The following is a 17,162-nucleotide window of genomic DNA, read 5'->3' as shown; positions in this document are numbered from 1 at the left end:
GTTCTGTAGAGTGGTTGAAAACCCTCTACACGGTTGCTGGAGTGTGGTAGGTATTTAATTAAAGTTGGTCTTTTCTCCTCCCAAATAAAGGCACAGATAATATGGAGAGTGACTTCATCATGATCCTTTCCCTAAGATTTTTCAAACCTTGTAAGGACCACAATGAAACATGAAGTGTCTAGAGTGAGAAGAGCCAGTGCAGTATTAGGAACACTTTGATAAGAATCAAGGACTGAGGTGTTTTATTTAGTCCTGGCTCTGTCCTACCATGCGAATGTGAGCACATTCCCCTGTGCCCTGTGGAATTGCATGAATTTTGTCCCCCAAAATTTGTGTTCACCAGAAATTCAGAACGTGGCCTTATTTAGAAACAAGGCCTTTGCAGATATAACTAAGAAAAGGTTATAACAGATTAAGGTGGACCCTAAACCCAACTAATGCTGTCATTTTTTTTTCTTTCTTTCTTTTTGAGACAGGAGTCTTGCTCTGTTGCCCAGGCTGGAGTGCAATGCTGTGATCTCGGCTCACTACAACCTCTGCCTCCCAGGTTCAAGCAATTCTCCTGCTTCAGCCTCCCGAGTAGCTGGGATTACAGGCACCCACCACCACACCCTGCTAATTATTGTATTTTTAGTAGAGACAGGGTTTCACCATGTTGGTCAGGCTGGTCTCGAACTCCTGACCTCAGGTGATCCACCTGCCTCAGCTTCCCAGGGATTACAGATGTAAGCCACTGCACCCAGCCCAAATGGTGTCATTTTAAAAAAAGGAGAGGACACACAGACACACAGGCAAGAAGGCCATATGATGATGGGGACAGAGGCAGGAGTCCTGAAACTGCCAGCCAAGGAAAGCTAAGCATGGCTGGGAGCCATGGGAGGCTCTGAAGAGGCAAGGAAGGATTCTCTCCTTGAGCCTACTGAGGGACCAGGGCTCTACCAAACCCTGATTTTGGACTTCTGGCCTTCAGAATGGCGAGAGAATAAATTTCTGTTGTTTTAAGTCACCTGATTCATGGTACTTGTTATGGCCCTTCTAGTAAACTTAAACACTATGCTTTCCCCTTCTATTCCTGCATGGATTGAGGCTATTGTGGACCACATGCATGGCCCAGGAATCAGGCTGTGGGAGGTACACAAAGAACTCTCAGGCTCTGCCCATTCTGTCCTCCTCTGCTAAGACAGAGAGATTGAACACACATTCTTACGGGCCTTACTGTTAGGAGGGCTCTGACTTGCCCAAGACACAGGGTAAGTTGTTAAAGTTTAACTCAGGACTTGAGGTCAGGCAGATTCGAGTGCACAGCCTGGCCTCACTGCATCACGCCATTGAGAACTGGAGCAAGTGACATAACTTCCCTAAGCCCCTGTTTCTCCAGCTGCACATTGGGTATAAAACTGTCATTTCTAGGGCTCTTGTGAAAATCACAGGGAATATTACAGGAAGGGAACCTTGCACCATGCTTAACACATAGCAGGTGCCCAGGAAATCCTAAATAATGAAGAGGATGTTGGTAGTTTTGGTGATTGCTGGCAAAGCTGGGATTCTCACACTGGTATCCTGATACCCCAGGGCAGTGTCTCAGTCCAGCCTGCCTCCGCCCCCAGTGCTCTTCCATTCATCTCTTTGCTGCCTCCCACTCCCCGCCCCAAGATTGGGGCAGCTCTAAGATCCCACAGACCCTAAACCCTGGGCTCCGCAAGTGAGATGAAGGATTGAGCCCCCGAGTTAAGAAAACGCCAGTGTCTGCTTTGAGTTAAGAAAACGCCAGTGTCTGCTTTAAGCTTTTTTTTCCTGTCTTGCGCTCAGATTCTTCATTCCCTAGCCTGACACAATCACTTCTCTTGACTTAGTAACGGCCCCTGTGTCAGGTCTTTGTGTTTTAAGTAATGTTCCCCTCATGTAACTGATGTTTATGCAGAATCAATCCTTTTAAAAGTGGACAGCTTTTGTATTTTTATAGCTTGAACTGTCTCTAGCTTCCAGAGAAAGGTGACATGTTTTTGCTTGTTTTTCACTTCCCTTTCCTTGTTTCTTTGTTGTTGTCTGTCTCTGCTCTCCATGGCTCTGTGTTTTCTTTCCTTTTTTTTTTTTTTTTTTTTTTTGAGACAGAGTCTCGCTCTGTCGCCCAGGCTGGAGTGCAGTGGCGCGATCTTGGCTCACTGCAAGCTCCGCCTCCCGGGTTCACGCCATTATCCTGCCTCAGCCTCCCAAGTAGCTGGGACTACAGGCACCCGCCACCACGCCCAGCTAATTTTTTGTATTTTTAGTAGAGATGGGTGTGTTTTCTTTCTTACTCAGTGTCTTTCTCTTCCCTTTCATTCTGTCTTTCTGCATTTGTCTCCTCCTGCTCTCTTTTCTCACTCTCCCTCCCACCTTCTCTCCCTCTCCTCGGCACACTTACACATTTGTTCTGTTTACCTTGAGTATGCCTCCTCTTTTCATCTGTTTCTTATGCCTCTGTTTCTCTCTTTGCTTTCTTTTTCCAATTCTATCTTTTCATTTTTATCTTTTCACATCCTTTCTCTCCTCTATTTGCCTTTCTTTTCCTGTCTGTCTCTATGACCTGTGTCCCTCTATAACTCTCTGTCTCTCTGTCTGTCCATCTATACCTTTTAGATCCCTTTATCTGTTTCCAGGTGGCTATATGTGTTTCTGCCTCTCTGTGTCTCTTCTTTCCTTCTCAGCAGTTTCTCTACCTGTTTATCTCTTGTTCTCTCACTTTCTCAGGTCCCTCTGTCTTTTTTTTTTTTTTTTTTTTTGAGACGGAGTCTCGCTGTGTCACCTAGGCTAGAGTGCCGTGGCACGATCTCGGCTCACTGCAACCTCTGCCTCCTGGGTTCAAGCAATTCTCCTGCCTCAGCCTCCCGAGTAACTGGGATTACAGGAGCATGCCCCACACCTGGCTACTATATTGTTAGTAGAGACGAGGTTTCACCATGTTAGCCAGGATAGTCCTCATCTCCTGACCTAGCCCATCTAGGCCTCCCAAAGTGCTGGGATTACAGGTGTGAGCCACCACGCCCAGCCTGGTCCCTCTGCCTTATCTCCTCCTCTTACTTTCTGTTTCTTCTTCTCCCTTCTAGGGTATTAATATTTTAATAGGCTTAATGTCTTCCCAGGATCCTCAACTCTCTTCATGATTCAAAAGTGGCAAGTCTCCCCAGAGCTTCATTTCAGGAACTATTAATTCTTTCCTCCCATAAACCTGTCACCTCACTCCCTACAAAGTTAGGAAGCAAGGGATAATCCTGTAGCACCTCACCCTTCTCCTTTGTCCCTGTGCTGCATCCCTGAACACAAAGGATTTGGAATGGGGACCCAGAGTTGGGGAGACAGAGAGGAGTGCCCTGCTGAGGAGGTTCTTAGTAAAAGTACTCATTGGTGAAGACTGCGTCTAAGCCTTTGGGTGTTTTCTGTGTTTCATTTGAAAATGTTTACCTAGCACACTTTCCTTCCAGACTGTGCTGGGGACTAAAGAGAAATGAATAAATCTTGAGCCTTTTCCTTTAAAAGCTTATAGTCTCTCTGGGAGACTGTGAAGCTGATAATTAAGATCAATAAGTTAAAAGATTTAGCCACTATGCTCACAGGGAAAAGGAATTAATTCTAGTAGGGGGAATTAACAGAGAAGGTTTCACAAAGGCGGTAACATAAAGCTACTGTGGAGATTGGGAGTCAGGATCTTGCCTGATGTCACTGCTGTATCCCCAGCACCTAGCATTGTGCCTGGTATATGGTAAACACTCAGTAAGCTTGTACAATGAATAAATGAATGAATGAATGAATATGAAGAGTTTTCAAAGATTCTTAGGATTTCTTCACGTAAGCATTTGGAAATGGGCATCCCAGGCAGAAGGAAGAGCATGATTTGGGATTGAGAGAGGTGCCTGCAGGTACCACACACAGATCCCCTCTTCAGGGCCAGCCCACCCACCCACCAGCTGTGGCTGTCAGTGACTAGGCATTGCCTTCAGCCTCAGGGAACTGGTTTATCCTAGTATATCCCATTCCAGACAGCAGCCCCACCAATGACTGGCTACTGTGGGGATGCAAAGGCCTGGATTCCTTGCTTTAATTCAGGACATCCATAAAGGGCCTTCTCAGCTCCAGAGCTCCCTGCAGGAACAACTGATACTTTAGACCCGCACTGTAGATCAGTCTCTCTCTTTACCAAATCCTGCCTTCTTCGCTTGCCTTTTTTTTTTTTTTTTTTTTTTTTTTTTTTTTTGAGACAGTGTTTTGATCATGGCTCACTGTAGCTCAAGAGATCCTCTCACCTCAGCCTCCCGAGTAGCTGGGACCACAGGCAGGCTCCTCTAAACCCTGGTAATTTAAAAAATGTTTGTAGAGACAGGGTTTTGCCTCATTTTCTAAGCTGGTCTTGAACTCCTGGGCTCAATCAAGCCTCCTTCCTAGGCCTCCCAAAGTGCTGAGATTACAAGCATGAGCCACTATGCCCAGCCCTTCCTCACCATCTTTAGATGCATCTCCCAAGAGGGCTTGGCAATAAACCTCCTGCATGTAACTTTCCAGTTTAGAACCTGTTTTCAGAGATTCTGTGTTCAGGGAATGAGACGAGGCCTGTGCCTAGTGGATAGAGATGTGAGGAGAGGGTAAATGTGGCTGGACAGGTAACTGGGGGCAAGATTATGAAGTCCGAATGCCAGAGAAGCTAATTTATATTTCTTCTCTAAGTACTGGGAAGCTATTGATCAGAGGAGTATCTAATTAGAGCTGGGATTTACCAAGTTCACTGACAGTCAGTATGAAAGATGGGACAGAAGGGATAAGACTGGAGGCAGGAAATGAATTAGGAGTTTCAAACCTGGTCCAAGCCTGAGGTGGAGAAGAATGGGAGAAGGTATGCAAGATGGTGCAGAGACACCCCCTCTAGTGTTTGCTAGCCTCTTCCTGCTTCATGTGTGGCTGCAGGCATTTCCCTTGCTTCACAGCTCTGGGCCTCATGAGGCACAGACCAGGGAAGGATATGTGCCGCTTCTCACTGCCCATGGTGCTTCTTTAAAATCTCCTGTAAGTATGGGAATCATATACCCCAGAGCAAATGTATCTCTTATTTCGGGCCCTTTCTGCAGAAGACAGCATCAGAGGCTCCCATCTGTATCCTCCATTGTAGAGAATTCCATCTCATAAAATGTTGGCAGATCCATGGATTATGGTATCAAGTCTAGTCTTATCTTTTGAGAACCTCATTTGGGAGGAATCACGTATTTCCCTGGAATCCCATGACCTTTCCAACAACTGTTGCTGATAGTCTTGATGGAGTGACTTATACACAATAGTCTGAAAAATAAGGATCTAGGGCCCTGGAGGGTCAGACTCCTGCGTTTGTGTCTTGGCTCTGCTATTTATAGACTGTGGGATTTGGAGTCAGTCCCACAATCTTTCATGGTTTCAATTTTATATTCACAAAGTTGGAATAATAGGGATGTGCCCAATTGCAGAGTTGCTATAGGGAGCTCTGAAATCTGTAGAAACAGGTAGGATGCAAGCTAAGAGTTAGGCAGTGAGAAGAGCCTTCTCTTTGGACTCAGCTGGAAGTTAATACAAACTTCACTTCGGTCACATTGTAAGCTGCTGGCCTTCAGCAAGATACTTCACCTTGCTAAGCCTAGTTCCCTTACGGTAAAGTGCACATCTCATGACTACCTCCAAGAATCATAAGTATTAATAAAATAAAGAGTATAGAGTTCTAGGTCCATTTCTCTGTATCACAACTTGACAAGCACCGTGTCATATGATGGTATACCTGTTGTTGTTTCCTTTTTATAATATTGATTATTATTGTTTTCCTGATTATAAGTAAGTTATGGTTTCAAATGTAATGAATTCACATTATTATTTTTTTAATCTAAGGATCCAAATGTCTCTGGGGTTTAACCATCCCCTTTCTCTCCAAGGGAAGAAGCGATGCTGTCCACATACTTTGAAACCATCAATGACCTGCTGTCTTCCTTCGGGCCAGTTCGTGACTGCTCTCGGAACAATGGGGGCTGCACTCGCAACTTCAAGTGTGTGTCTGACCGGCAGGTGGATTCCTCGGGATGTGTGGTAAGTGCCCATTGGCCCGGGAACATGGCAGTGGCCCAGGGGCTAAGGCCACCTGCTAGAAGCCCTGCCCTGCGAGGGAACGCTGGTAAGGAGGATCATATCCACACTACCCTTATCTGCCTCTGCGGCCTTCAGTATGCCAGCCTACCTTGGTTTCCTCACCTGTAAAGTGAGATCATTAAACCTACCTCTTGGAATTGTTGGAAGAATGAAACAAGATATTATAACTTAAGTGCCCACCACACAATAGGTCTTAGAGAACTTCTGACCTTCAGAAGCTTACAGTCCATTTGAGAGTAAGACAGGGCATGCCTTACCTCTGTGAATACAATAGTAGGCGGGATGTCAATGAGGTGTAACTAGTATGGACAGGTGCTTTGGTGTGGTCCGGAAGAGAAAGTTTCAGCTGGGACCTCAGTTTCGTAGAAGGCTTCCTTGGGACGTTGGCTTTTGGCTTTGGCTTTGGCTTCAAAAGATGAGTCAACTTACATTAGGGAAAGAGCGGAGACAGCCAAGCAAAGACATGAAGGAAGGGAGAGGCAGCCTTGTTTGCTTGGAATTTTAGTATCTAGCGTGGGACAAGGTCACACAAGAAGATGCGGGAGGGTTCCTGTTGCTTTAGAAGGGTGTGCCAAAACTGATGGTTTTATAAGAATGACCTAAGATACAGGGTTCTACCTCTAGAAGCTTTTATTCTAGAGAGGAGATTAGGTCCCGGGAGCCTGACTTTTTAACGTGTATGTGTGTGTGTGTGTGTGTGTGTGTGTGTGTGTGTATTTGTGTGTGTTGGGGTATCTTGAAAATACACTTGGGAAACATTGCCACATAGGCTAAACTCAGCCTGGCATTCAATGCTCTTCTTTCTGTGGTCCCTTTTCAGTTTCTCCAGCCACATCTCTTATCGCTTCATTTCAATCTACACTACAGCCTAATGGAGCTGATTAGATGGAGTTCTATGAACTTGCCTGCATGTTTCATGCCTCAGAACCTTTTCTTGTACCTTCTCTCTGCCTAGAAAGAATTGCTTTCGAAGTCTATGAAGCAAACAAGTGAACATCTTTCCAGAGACATCTCCTTTATGAAGCCTTTTCCCTCCCCGCAGGTGACCCTCTTTTCCATACAGTATCTTTACTGTATGCTGTACTTAGCTTTATTAAGTCACCTGTGACACGTTATAGCACAGACTGGTTTTTCAGTTTATGTTTCTTAAAAAACTGAGGGAGAACCCAGGGAATCTGTTGATTCGGCTCAACACCCCAGAAGTACCCATCTCAGTAAATAAAGAAAAAAGAAAGAAGAAGGGAAGGATAGAACCAGGGATAGGAATCCTGCTCTGGACTAGGCTCTCTGAACAAGACCCAAGGGAGACAGAACACACACTTGGCCCTTAGTGCAGCTACACACCAGCTGAGAAACAGACAAAGGTCAGGAGATCAATACGAAGAAGCTTCTAGAATGAAATAATGCAATGAAACTATATCTGAGACTCAAAGATTAATAGCTCTTCAGATGTGAATGGGCAATTAGAAATTTTAGTGATTAGAATTCTCAGGATTACAAGTGATAGAAACTAAACTCAAACTAGTATAGGCAAAAAAAAAAAAAAAAAGAAGAAGGAAATGCATTGGCTTAAGTGGAAGTCTGGAGAAAATTGGATTGAAGGACTCAAGCAATGTCATTGGAATCCCCCTCCTTATCTTAGCTCTGCTTTCCTTAGCACTGTGCCATTCTTGGGCCAGCTGCAGGCTGGATGCAAGTCCTACAGGACAAAAACACTTCTTTCCTAGTACCTCCAACTACTGTCACCAGATTCCTTCTCATTGTGCCAACTTGGTTCTCATGCCCATTTATCCCTGCACCAATTGCTGGTCAGGGGGATTAACTGGGCTCATCCCAGAGACAGCCATGCTTGGAGCTTGCACCAGGAGGCAGCTACACCTGAAATGCATGGCCCTGAGATGGGGGAAGGCATAGACTCTCAAGAAAAACTGGGGTGCTGGCAACAGGAGTTGTAGATGCTAGATTGATATACATCAACAGCTGTCTGCCTCAGACCATTGAAACCTAACCCTTCATATAGCACATTGGAAAAGTGCTAGTTGGGGAGAGGAGGATTTGCTGAAGTCTGAAACCCAGCCAGTGGACAAACAGCTCAAAAGGATGTTCTGTGTTGTGTCCAGAATGTAAGGCTGACCTTTTTCAAAGGATTAAGTTGTCTGCCTCTTTCCTCTTTTCCATTAGTTCTCTTTTCTCAAATTAATTAAGCTCCTTCTCTTTTAGGATAGATATCCCATAGGAATGAAACCTCAAATACAGAGGAGTGTGTGTGTGTGTGTGTGTGTGTGTGTGTGTGTGTGTGTGTGTGTGTAGCTTGGGCTTGTCTCTCTTTGTCTTTTATTCATATAAACTGGAAAAATTAAAAGAGAGAGAAAGAGAAAGAACATTCATTCCCTAGGGGATAAGAGAAGATTCAACGGTCTGATGAAGTTGTCAAAGACCCTCCTCTCTAGATTGAGGATGTAATTTTAAAACCACTACTTCAAGGTTCAATGGATGTAAGGCAAGCTCCTCTCTGTGCTTCAGAATAGACAGGGAAATACCACGTTTATGCTGAGATTTTAAATCCCTTTCATTTCTCTGTAGACTCTCCATCATGTCTGTAAAGAGAAACTTCTTCTCATAGCTCACCTTCTAAGACATTCCTTCAGGTATTACATGATAATTCCTTATATTTTTAGAATACTTTAGCATTCTCAAAGCATGTCTACAAGCTAAGAGCTCATCCTCACAACAAACCTGGGCAGTAGATTCCCTCAGGAATGTGGAAACAGGCTCAGGAAGCAGAGTGACTTTCCAAGGTCTTACCACCAGGTGGCAGGGTGGAGGACCAAGACCATGTCTCACTATCAGTCCTTCTGCCAGGGCCACTTTGGCTTGCTTTCCCACACTGGGAGCTGAGATGAGTTCTCGTTGAAGAATCATGGAAAGGAGGCTGGGCTGAGTGAATTGGGCTAAAGCCTGGATTTAGGCATTAGAATGACCATAGCTTTGGAGTCTATGTTGACTTCATTAGCATCAGTTTCTTAATCTTTCAAAAGGAAGCAACAGTACTTACAGATTTTTCTAAAAACAAAAACAAAAAACTGAAAGAGCTCAAAGAATATAACTGGCAATGATTTGGGATTTACAAAGTACCATTTATGAGTGAGATAAGGAGACCACATTACTGATATTTGTATGTAGTGGATATATTTGGGGCCACACAAATTTAGGAGCACAGCGTATCTAATGTTCTATTACGTTTCTGTAACTGAATTTCATTTCATTTCTGTTCCATTGTTAGTGGAAACTTAACTCTAGTCAATTTCAGTTTTTTTTCTGCCTCCCACCTCTTAACTGAACATTTTAGCTCAAAGGGCCAATGTACCTGTAAGGCCTAGGAGCTAAGGGCATGTTTGATGCTGGGCCATCACTTTTTAATCTGGTACCTGCTGCATCACTTGGCCCTTGTCCATCACTCTCCTTCCTCTCCATTCCCACCTGACTCACAGGTGTGTAGTACAGCTGCTGCCTCATCCACTTTATTCCACCACAAGGTCATTTAAGGCCAGCTGGCTCTGTGCGTCAGCTAGTTTTTCCAGCCTCCAGAGGGCCTGAGAAATGTCCAACAGTTCCACCTGGAGGATCTGAGGAAAGCTGTCTAGAGCTCTTTTGATCTAGACATGCCAGGAAAGGATCTGTAGTTGGCTGTTTTCACAGTGGGGAGGATCACTCACCATGCTTGCTGTCAACCTGTGCTATATAGCAAGTGACGCCCAGAACCCCTTTGCCTTCATAGCCCTCAAACCCACCTGATATTCTGCACCCCCTCATCCCCTTCATACACTCATGGGCGTAGCCTGGTAAGGATAGAGGATGGGACCCCTTTTAGAACACTCATTAGCATTTTCTAGATTACTTTGTTTGACTTCCAACATTCCTGTCTTCCACCAGCTCAGATGACCTTTACTTCTTTGTGGATACAAGGGAAGGTAATTCTCTAACAGATCACAGATGCTTCTATTGCTTTATTATTGTCATTATAATGATGATTATTATTTTACCTTCTAAAATAGCTCTACCTTCTAGACCTCAACTTTTGAAACACAAGATTTAAAAAATCTGACATATTTTTGCTCAGCTTTCTGGTTCTGCTGTGGTAACCTTCCCTTTGGATAATATGTTTCTCATATAGGTAATTGGCCAATTGGAGGATGGCCATAAGATGTGTAGTAGGCAAAATAATGGCCCCTGCAAAGATGTCCACATCCTAATTCCCAGAACCTGTGACTGGTATGTTACCTTTCATGACAGAACCAGGATTTAAATTTGCGTAAGGAATTAAGATGACTAATTAGCTGACCTTAAAAGAGCGAGAATATCTTGAATTATCAGAGTGTGCTCAGGAAAGCAGAGGAGTGGGGTAGAGAGAGGCAGCGTTGCCAGCTGTGAAGTTGGAGGAAGAGAGTTACATGCTAAGGAAGAGAAGTGGTGTTTAGAAGCTGGAAAAGCAAAGAGAAAGACTTACCTCTGGAACCTCCAGAAAGGAATGCAACCCTGCCAACACCTAAATTTTAGCCCATTGAGACCCAAGTTAGACTTTTAAATTGTAGAACTGTGAGATAATAAATTTGCGTTACTTTAAACCACCAATTGCATAGTAATTTGCTACAATAGCAATAAAATACTGATAACAGGTAAAAGATCATATGAGGAGGGTGATACAGTAAATAATATATAAATAATTATGCTATTATTTTTGTTTTCAGTTATTTCCAAGGAGACCATATCCCTTGACCAGTGATAGAGGAAGTAACAGTGAATGAAACATCAGAAAAGAGAGGGAGCCTGTGTTCCCCTTCAGTGTTCCAAGAGTGAAAAATTGTTGTATATTAGAAATGTTATAAATCTGACAAACATAATGATGTCAGCAAGGCACAGTTTGAAATGTAAGCTATGGGTCCATTTATTCTGTGTGGCAGTATAAACACTGCAAAATTTTAATCAAGATAGAGAATAAAAACAAAGAAAACTGTAAGCACTTAATCACAGCATCGTATGGAGGACACTTCCACCACCATCTCTAAGTAACTGCTGCCCCCTGACGCACTTCACTAATGCCATTCTTTTATGTTTTTCTGGTTTTCCCAGCACAGGAAGCCTTTTGATTAACCCAACACCAGACAATCTGGTAAACACAATGCGTCCTCCTTAACCCTTTTTGAAGTATCAGTTCATAGCTCACTTTCCTGGTTCCAGCTTTCTATTGTTTTATAACAAACTACCCCAAAACTCAGTAGCTTCACACACTCTTGTTTTGTCTATAGATTTGTGAATCAGGACTATGTGGAGGGTGCAGCTGGTTTGTCTCTGATCAAAGACAGATGGGGCATCTGGGACTGGGGAGTCATTTGCAGAAGGGTTCCTTTATTACCTGTCTGGGGCTAGGACTGGCACCATTGGTGGTTGACACTGGCTATGCTGGACCTGAGCTGGGGCTGTCAACTGGATAGAGGATTTTTTCTTGGGCTCCCCATTTGGCTTGGGCTTCTCACATCATGGAACCTGGGCTTACCAAGGGACCATCCCAAGATCCAGCGTTCTAAGTGCCTAGGCAGAAGCTGCAAGGCTTCTTAGTCCCCAGCCTCAGAAGTCTCAGAACATCATTTCTACCACATTCTATTGGTCAAGCAGGTCAATAAGGTCAGCCCAGATTCAAGGGGGAAAGAGCTAGATTTCACCTGTCAATGCGAAGAGTAGCAAAGAATGTGTGATCATCTTTAATCTACCCATTTACCCATTGCATGGAGACAGACAAGGGCTACCAGAGCCAGAAAGGACCCTCTCCCATTATACAAACAGAAAAACAAAGGCCTAGAAAGATACGGAAATTGCTCAAGTTCATGTAGGGAGGTAGTAATACAACCTAGATTTAATTCCAAGACTCCCTTCCAGTTTCACATTCCAACACCTAATGGCCCCATAGCATCAGCTTTGTCACTATATAGTATAATTATTTATTTCGCAACATTCCTGTATCCAGCACTGTGAATGGACCAGGAGCAAAACACCACAAGAGTTAAGCCTTGTTTTATAAGCCCCTTCAGAAGACAAGACAGACTTCAGCAGGATTGCAGCATAATCTTGAACAAACCACTTTGTTTCTCTGTGTGAAAATTCTCTAAGAGGATTGGTGTGAATATTGCAGAGAAAAGAGTGGTCATACGAGAGAACTGGCACTCACTGGGCACCTACTATGTGTTATTTTGCCTATGTTCATGGCAATTAATGCCTATAATTATCACCTACCCGGAACTATCATGTCCATTTTACAAAAAAGAAAAGCTAGTAATATAAAAGCAACTATCCATACAAAGACTGTTCCAAGCACGGTTCTAAGTGCTTTGCTTCTTTTAACCAACCTTATGCTCACAGTAATAATATGAGCCAGATATTATTATTACCTTCACTTCACACATGAGAAAAATGAAACTATCTGGTAGGAAACTGGGATATGTGGAGAAAAATAATGGGAAAGGATAGAAAGGAGGGGCAACATCGAATAGTCAAGGCCTTCATAGAAAGGACTAAGGGAAGTGGAAGGATTTGCATACTCGCTGGGTCTTAGAGTGATGGTGTCTTTCAGGAGGAGCCTCTGTGGTCAGTTCTTAGCCCTGGCTCTGAATTCTAGAACAATCTCAAACCAATCCCACACTCCTCAACCCTACAAATCACCCAGTCACATTTCTGCCGCCTCTGCCCCATCTTTTTCTTTTTTCATTTTGATCTAAAAAACCATCTGGCCTGCCAGATATTAGGAAAGATCATAGGATCCCTGATTGCACAGGTGCTGAGAGACAACAACAAGAGCTGCCTTTCTAAAAGTCAAGATGAATAAACATATGGATTTCCATTTAGTATAGGCCAGGAACCTTATAGCACTGCTCAGAGGGAGGCAAAAGCTGGAATCTGGTTCAGTAGGGGAGAGAGACCGGCTTTTCTCCATTCCTCATCCTTTCCCCCTCTTAATGACTCAATTGCAGTGTAATTAAAGGAACAAAACTCAAGAGGGGTGGGGAAGACTAGCAAGAAGAGTCAGCAGAGTGAGAAATCACCTTGGAGCACAGCCCAGGCACTGCTGACCAGGGAAAGCCCAGCCCTGCCTGCCTGGGCATGTAACCCTCCTACACGGTGCAGCTGGGCTGAGCCTCCATGGGATCTAGCCCTTGGAGACTTGTTTTTCCTTTCCAGAAATGGACTTTCAAAGCTAAATTTATCCCTGTAGATCAGCCACATGGGGTATGATAGATTCAGAAGACAACTGAGACAGATTTTGCCAAAATCCAAAATGAGAGGACTGATGGTTGCCCTATTTTTCTTTTTAAAAATTATTAGAAAGATGCAAAGGCAGCAGGCAGGTGTCTTTATGGGAATAACTTCAGGCTCTTGGGTTGCAAAACAGGATTTACAGGATGACATATCGCCCCCATGGTGTCTTCATCAAAGTATCCTCTAGTCAAATAGGTTCACAGACAGAGAATTCTCTATATGTATTGAATACCTTGATCAGTAATACTAGGCCTAATATTATTAAAGCTACTAAAAAATAAATGAATAAATGCTATAAATAATATCAGGCCTAGTATTACTGATACGGATATATAGAGAGAACATTTCAGTACTAATTATGTGCCTGGCCCTGGAAATCCTCACAGCTACCTTATAAGGAAAGCATTATTATTACTCCCATTTTATCCATGAGGAAATAGAGTCAGAAAGTATGAGAAACTTGCCCAAATCCAACCAGCCAGGTAAAGGCAGAGGAAACTCCAAACTCTGTCAAACTCCAAAGCTCATTCTCTTAATTCATCAGAAGACACCCTCCCAAGGCTGAGAATAGTTCCCTAGGGATAAGGCGAATGTCCCCAATGTCAGGAAGCATGAAGAGAGGGGCACTTTCTTCTCTTTACCCTCTATCAATGTCCAGTATTTATTTCTCCTCCACTGCATCCAAGAGATCCAGAGGAAGCTAAAGAGGCTAAGTATTGGAAAAGGACATAGGAATAGTCAGTAAAGAAGGAAATTGGAACTGTATTGGAAAAGGACATAAGAATAGCCAGTAAAGAAGGGAATTGGAACTGTACTGTGTCCACTGATTCAATGCCTGCACACAGGACTCAAAGTTTGGGAAATGAAAAGGAGGGAGTAGCTCCTCAATCAGGAGCATTTGCATCTTTCCAATCAGTGCATTTGCATCTTTCCTTTATGAATTTGGAGCAGGCTGGGTGGGTAGGTGGGGTAATAGGGTTTCCAAGATTATTGTGTGTGGCATTCTCATAAAGCCTATGCACCCTTTTATGACATTAAATATTTTTTTCTTCTCATGACATTTGAAGCCTTCTCTATTTTTCCCCTTATTTTATTTCGTTGGGACTTGGATTTGCTGGGTCTGATGGTATTTCTGGTAAGCTGGTTTTATTGTGTGGAAGTCATTATCTGTTAAAGTCAGGAAGCAGCCCCCCTTTTTCCAAAGTGATGGGTTTTACCCTTTGATTCCTGAAATAATGGTGGGGGGGGAATAATGAGAAGGGAGGCCGGGCGCGGTGGCTCAAACCTGTAATCCTAGCACTTTGGGAGGCCGAGGTAGGCGGATCACAAGGTCAGGAGTTCGAGACCATCCTGGCCAACATGGTGAAACCCTGTCTCTACTAAAAATACAAAAAAATTAGCAGAGCGTGGTGGCAGGCTCCTATAGTCCCAGCTACTCAGGAGGCTGAGGCAGGAGAATGGCGTGAACCCGGGAGGCGGAGCTTGCAGTGAGCCAAGATGGTGCCACTGCACTCCAGCCTGGGGGACAGAGGGAGACTTGTCTCAAAAAAAAAAAAAAAAAAAGAGAGAAGGAAGCCCCAAATTGGAGGCAGGAAATGGAAGCTGCACTCCTAGTTTTCCCAACTGTTGTCTGCAAGCCCTGCATAAATCACTGCTCCCACTACCATCTCCCACTACCATCCCCTACTTTTGGGAAGACACTATAGTGCTTAAGTACACAGTTTTTAGCATCAGAGAAACCTGGGCCAAAATCTTACCTTGTCATTCACTAGCCATGTGACTTTGGGAAAAGTTACTTAAAGCCTCTTAGCCTTGGGTTCCTGTTGAGTAAAATGGGGATAATACTACTTATGCCTGCCAAAGCTGCTGTTAGGACTAACTGAGAATGCATACGCAATGGGCTAGAACATGGCCCTAAGCAGGCACAAAACATGGTTGCTATTATTATTATCTGATATCTCATGCAGGGTTGAGTATGGTGGTGGTGGCAATGATGAGAGCTAAAATTGTTTGAATGCTTGCTATGATTCAAGGCTTCTGAGGTGGATCTCATTATTATCCCTTTTCTTACAGATGGGAAAACTGAGCCAGAGAAAACTTAGGTAATTTGCTCAGGACCACAAAGCTACTCAGTTCTAGAGCAGGGAATTCGGGCCAAATTGGGCCAAAGCAGGTTGATAACAAAACCCTTAACCAGGACAAATTCATATATATCACTAATATTGCCTAATATTTCATGAAGGGGAACATCCCAGCATTTGCTTTGTCTTCTGGTTGGACATGTTGATTGCTTCCAGATTTAGTCTATTATAAACCGTGCTGCTCTGAGCACCTTTGGGCAGAAGCCACCTTCTGTGTTTTGAGCTGTTTCTTTAGAAGAGATTCCCAGAAGTCTGTAAGGACAGTTTTCAAATTGTATTAGTGTTTCATGATTTGGGTGAAGGTGTGGGATGGATTTTTTCAAAAGGAGCAATAGAGCATCTGGTGCTCCACACTGTTTTAGGTGCTGCTTTTCTTTCAGAGTGCAGCCCAAGGGCGGGCTAGGGTATTTGGCCTAAAGGGTCTCTGATCAGGAGAGTGATAAAATAAATGTAGTACATGTGGGAGTGGAGTCCAGTGAGGTGTGCACTGTGTCTGTGAGAGAGGGTCCAGATACAAGAGGCAATGCAGAGGAGAGTAAATGAGGCCGTGGGTCTGCTGTCTCCTTGAGGGTTTGAGGAGGTCAGAAGCCATGACTACAGAACTTTTAGTGGTTGTGCCAAGCACCAGTGAGTGTCTCCTGAGGCATCAGAATGCTGATCATCAGACACCTTCTCCTTAGCTCTGAAACGAAAAGCTGGAATAATTGTGTTCATCTTAATTATAATAATAGAATTTTTGCATTCATAAGGTATTTTCTCCATCTGATCATCAATCTTCCTTTAAAAATTTTTTTTGGTTTTCTAAAAGTAGCTCATTCTCATTATAAAATAAAATAAATTTGTACAGTGTTGAAATGTATAAAGAAAAAAACTCAAGGCCCCCTTTCTTAACTACTCACCCACTTTAGATAAATGTGCCACGGTTTGGTGTATATATAGATAGATACATATCCTTCCATACACTTCTTCCCTATGCATATGCAAATATAAATAAGAATTTATATATGTAATTTTAAAAATGGAAGCATAAAAAGCATACAGTTGTGTTTCTTCGGGACAATTTTCTAAGTCAGAACTACACATTCTGCTTTTCCTAGAGCTTTTCCAATTTTTTTTTCTTTTTAGGACAACTGACTTCCTAGCTTGATCTTAACCGTGTGTGTGTGTGTGTGTGTGTGTGTGTGTGTGTGTGTGTATTTTCCCCTTGGGTAATAAATAAAGATGATCAAATTGAGGCTAAAGAGCACAAGAGCTATGCTTGGATAGAACCCAGGTGTCTGAAATTCCAGTGTAGGACTCTCTTCCACCCAGGATAACATGCTTTTATTTTTATCATCATTCTTTTGTCTTTTATCATAGGTCTTGAGGATAAATGGATGACAAATGACATTATTATTATTGTTATTAAATTTTACAAATAATAAAGGTATCCTTTTGCCTGTATTCTCCAGCTTCTCTCTGATCCCTGCTTTAAGAAGTCTTGACCCACTAGCCCAGGTATTTTGAAATCCCTTTCCCTTGAGGGAGCAAACAGTGAGAAGGTTTCATCAAACACTCAATAGCCTTTCTCCTCATTGAGAA

General features: G+C 43.3%; 1 protein-coding gene across 3 annotated transcripts in view; it reads left to right on the top strand.

Annotated features, from left to right (window-relative positions):
• The window catches only part of ASTN2 (astrotactin 2), a 991,946-nt gene that overhangs the window by 545,403 nt on the left and 429,381 nt on the right, over positions 1 to 17,162 (top strand). For all 3 annotated transcript variants that reach the window (NM_014010.5, NM_001365069.1, NM_001365068.1), the window contains one exon: positions 5,922 to 6,072. In NM_014010.5, coding sequence (NP_054729.3) covers positions 5,922 to 6,072 — 151 coding nt within the window. The remainder of the gene's footprint in view (positions 1 to 5,921; positions 6,073 to 17,162) is intronic.

The sequence above is a fragment of the Homo sapiens genome, chromosome 9, assembly GCF_000001405.40.
Source record: "Homo sapiens chromosome 9, GRCh38.p14 Primary Assembly".
In the NCBI taxonomy this organism is placed as follows: Eukaryota; Metazoa; Chordata; class Mammalia; order Primates; family Hominidae; genus Homo; species Homo sapiens.
This window is presented reverse-complemented; position numbering and strand designations above follow the sequence as displayed.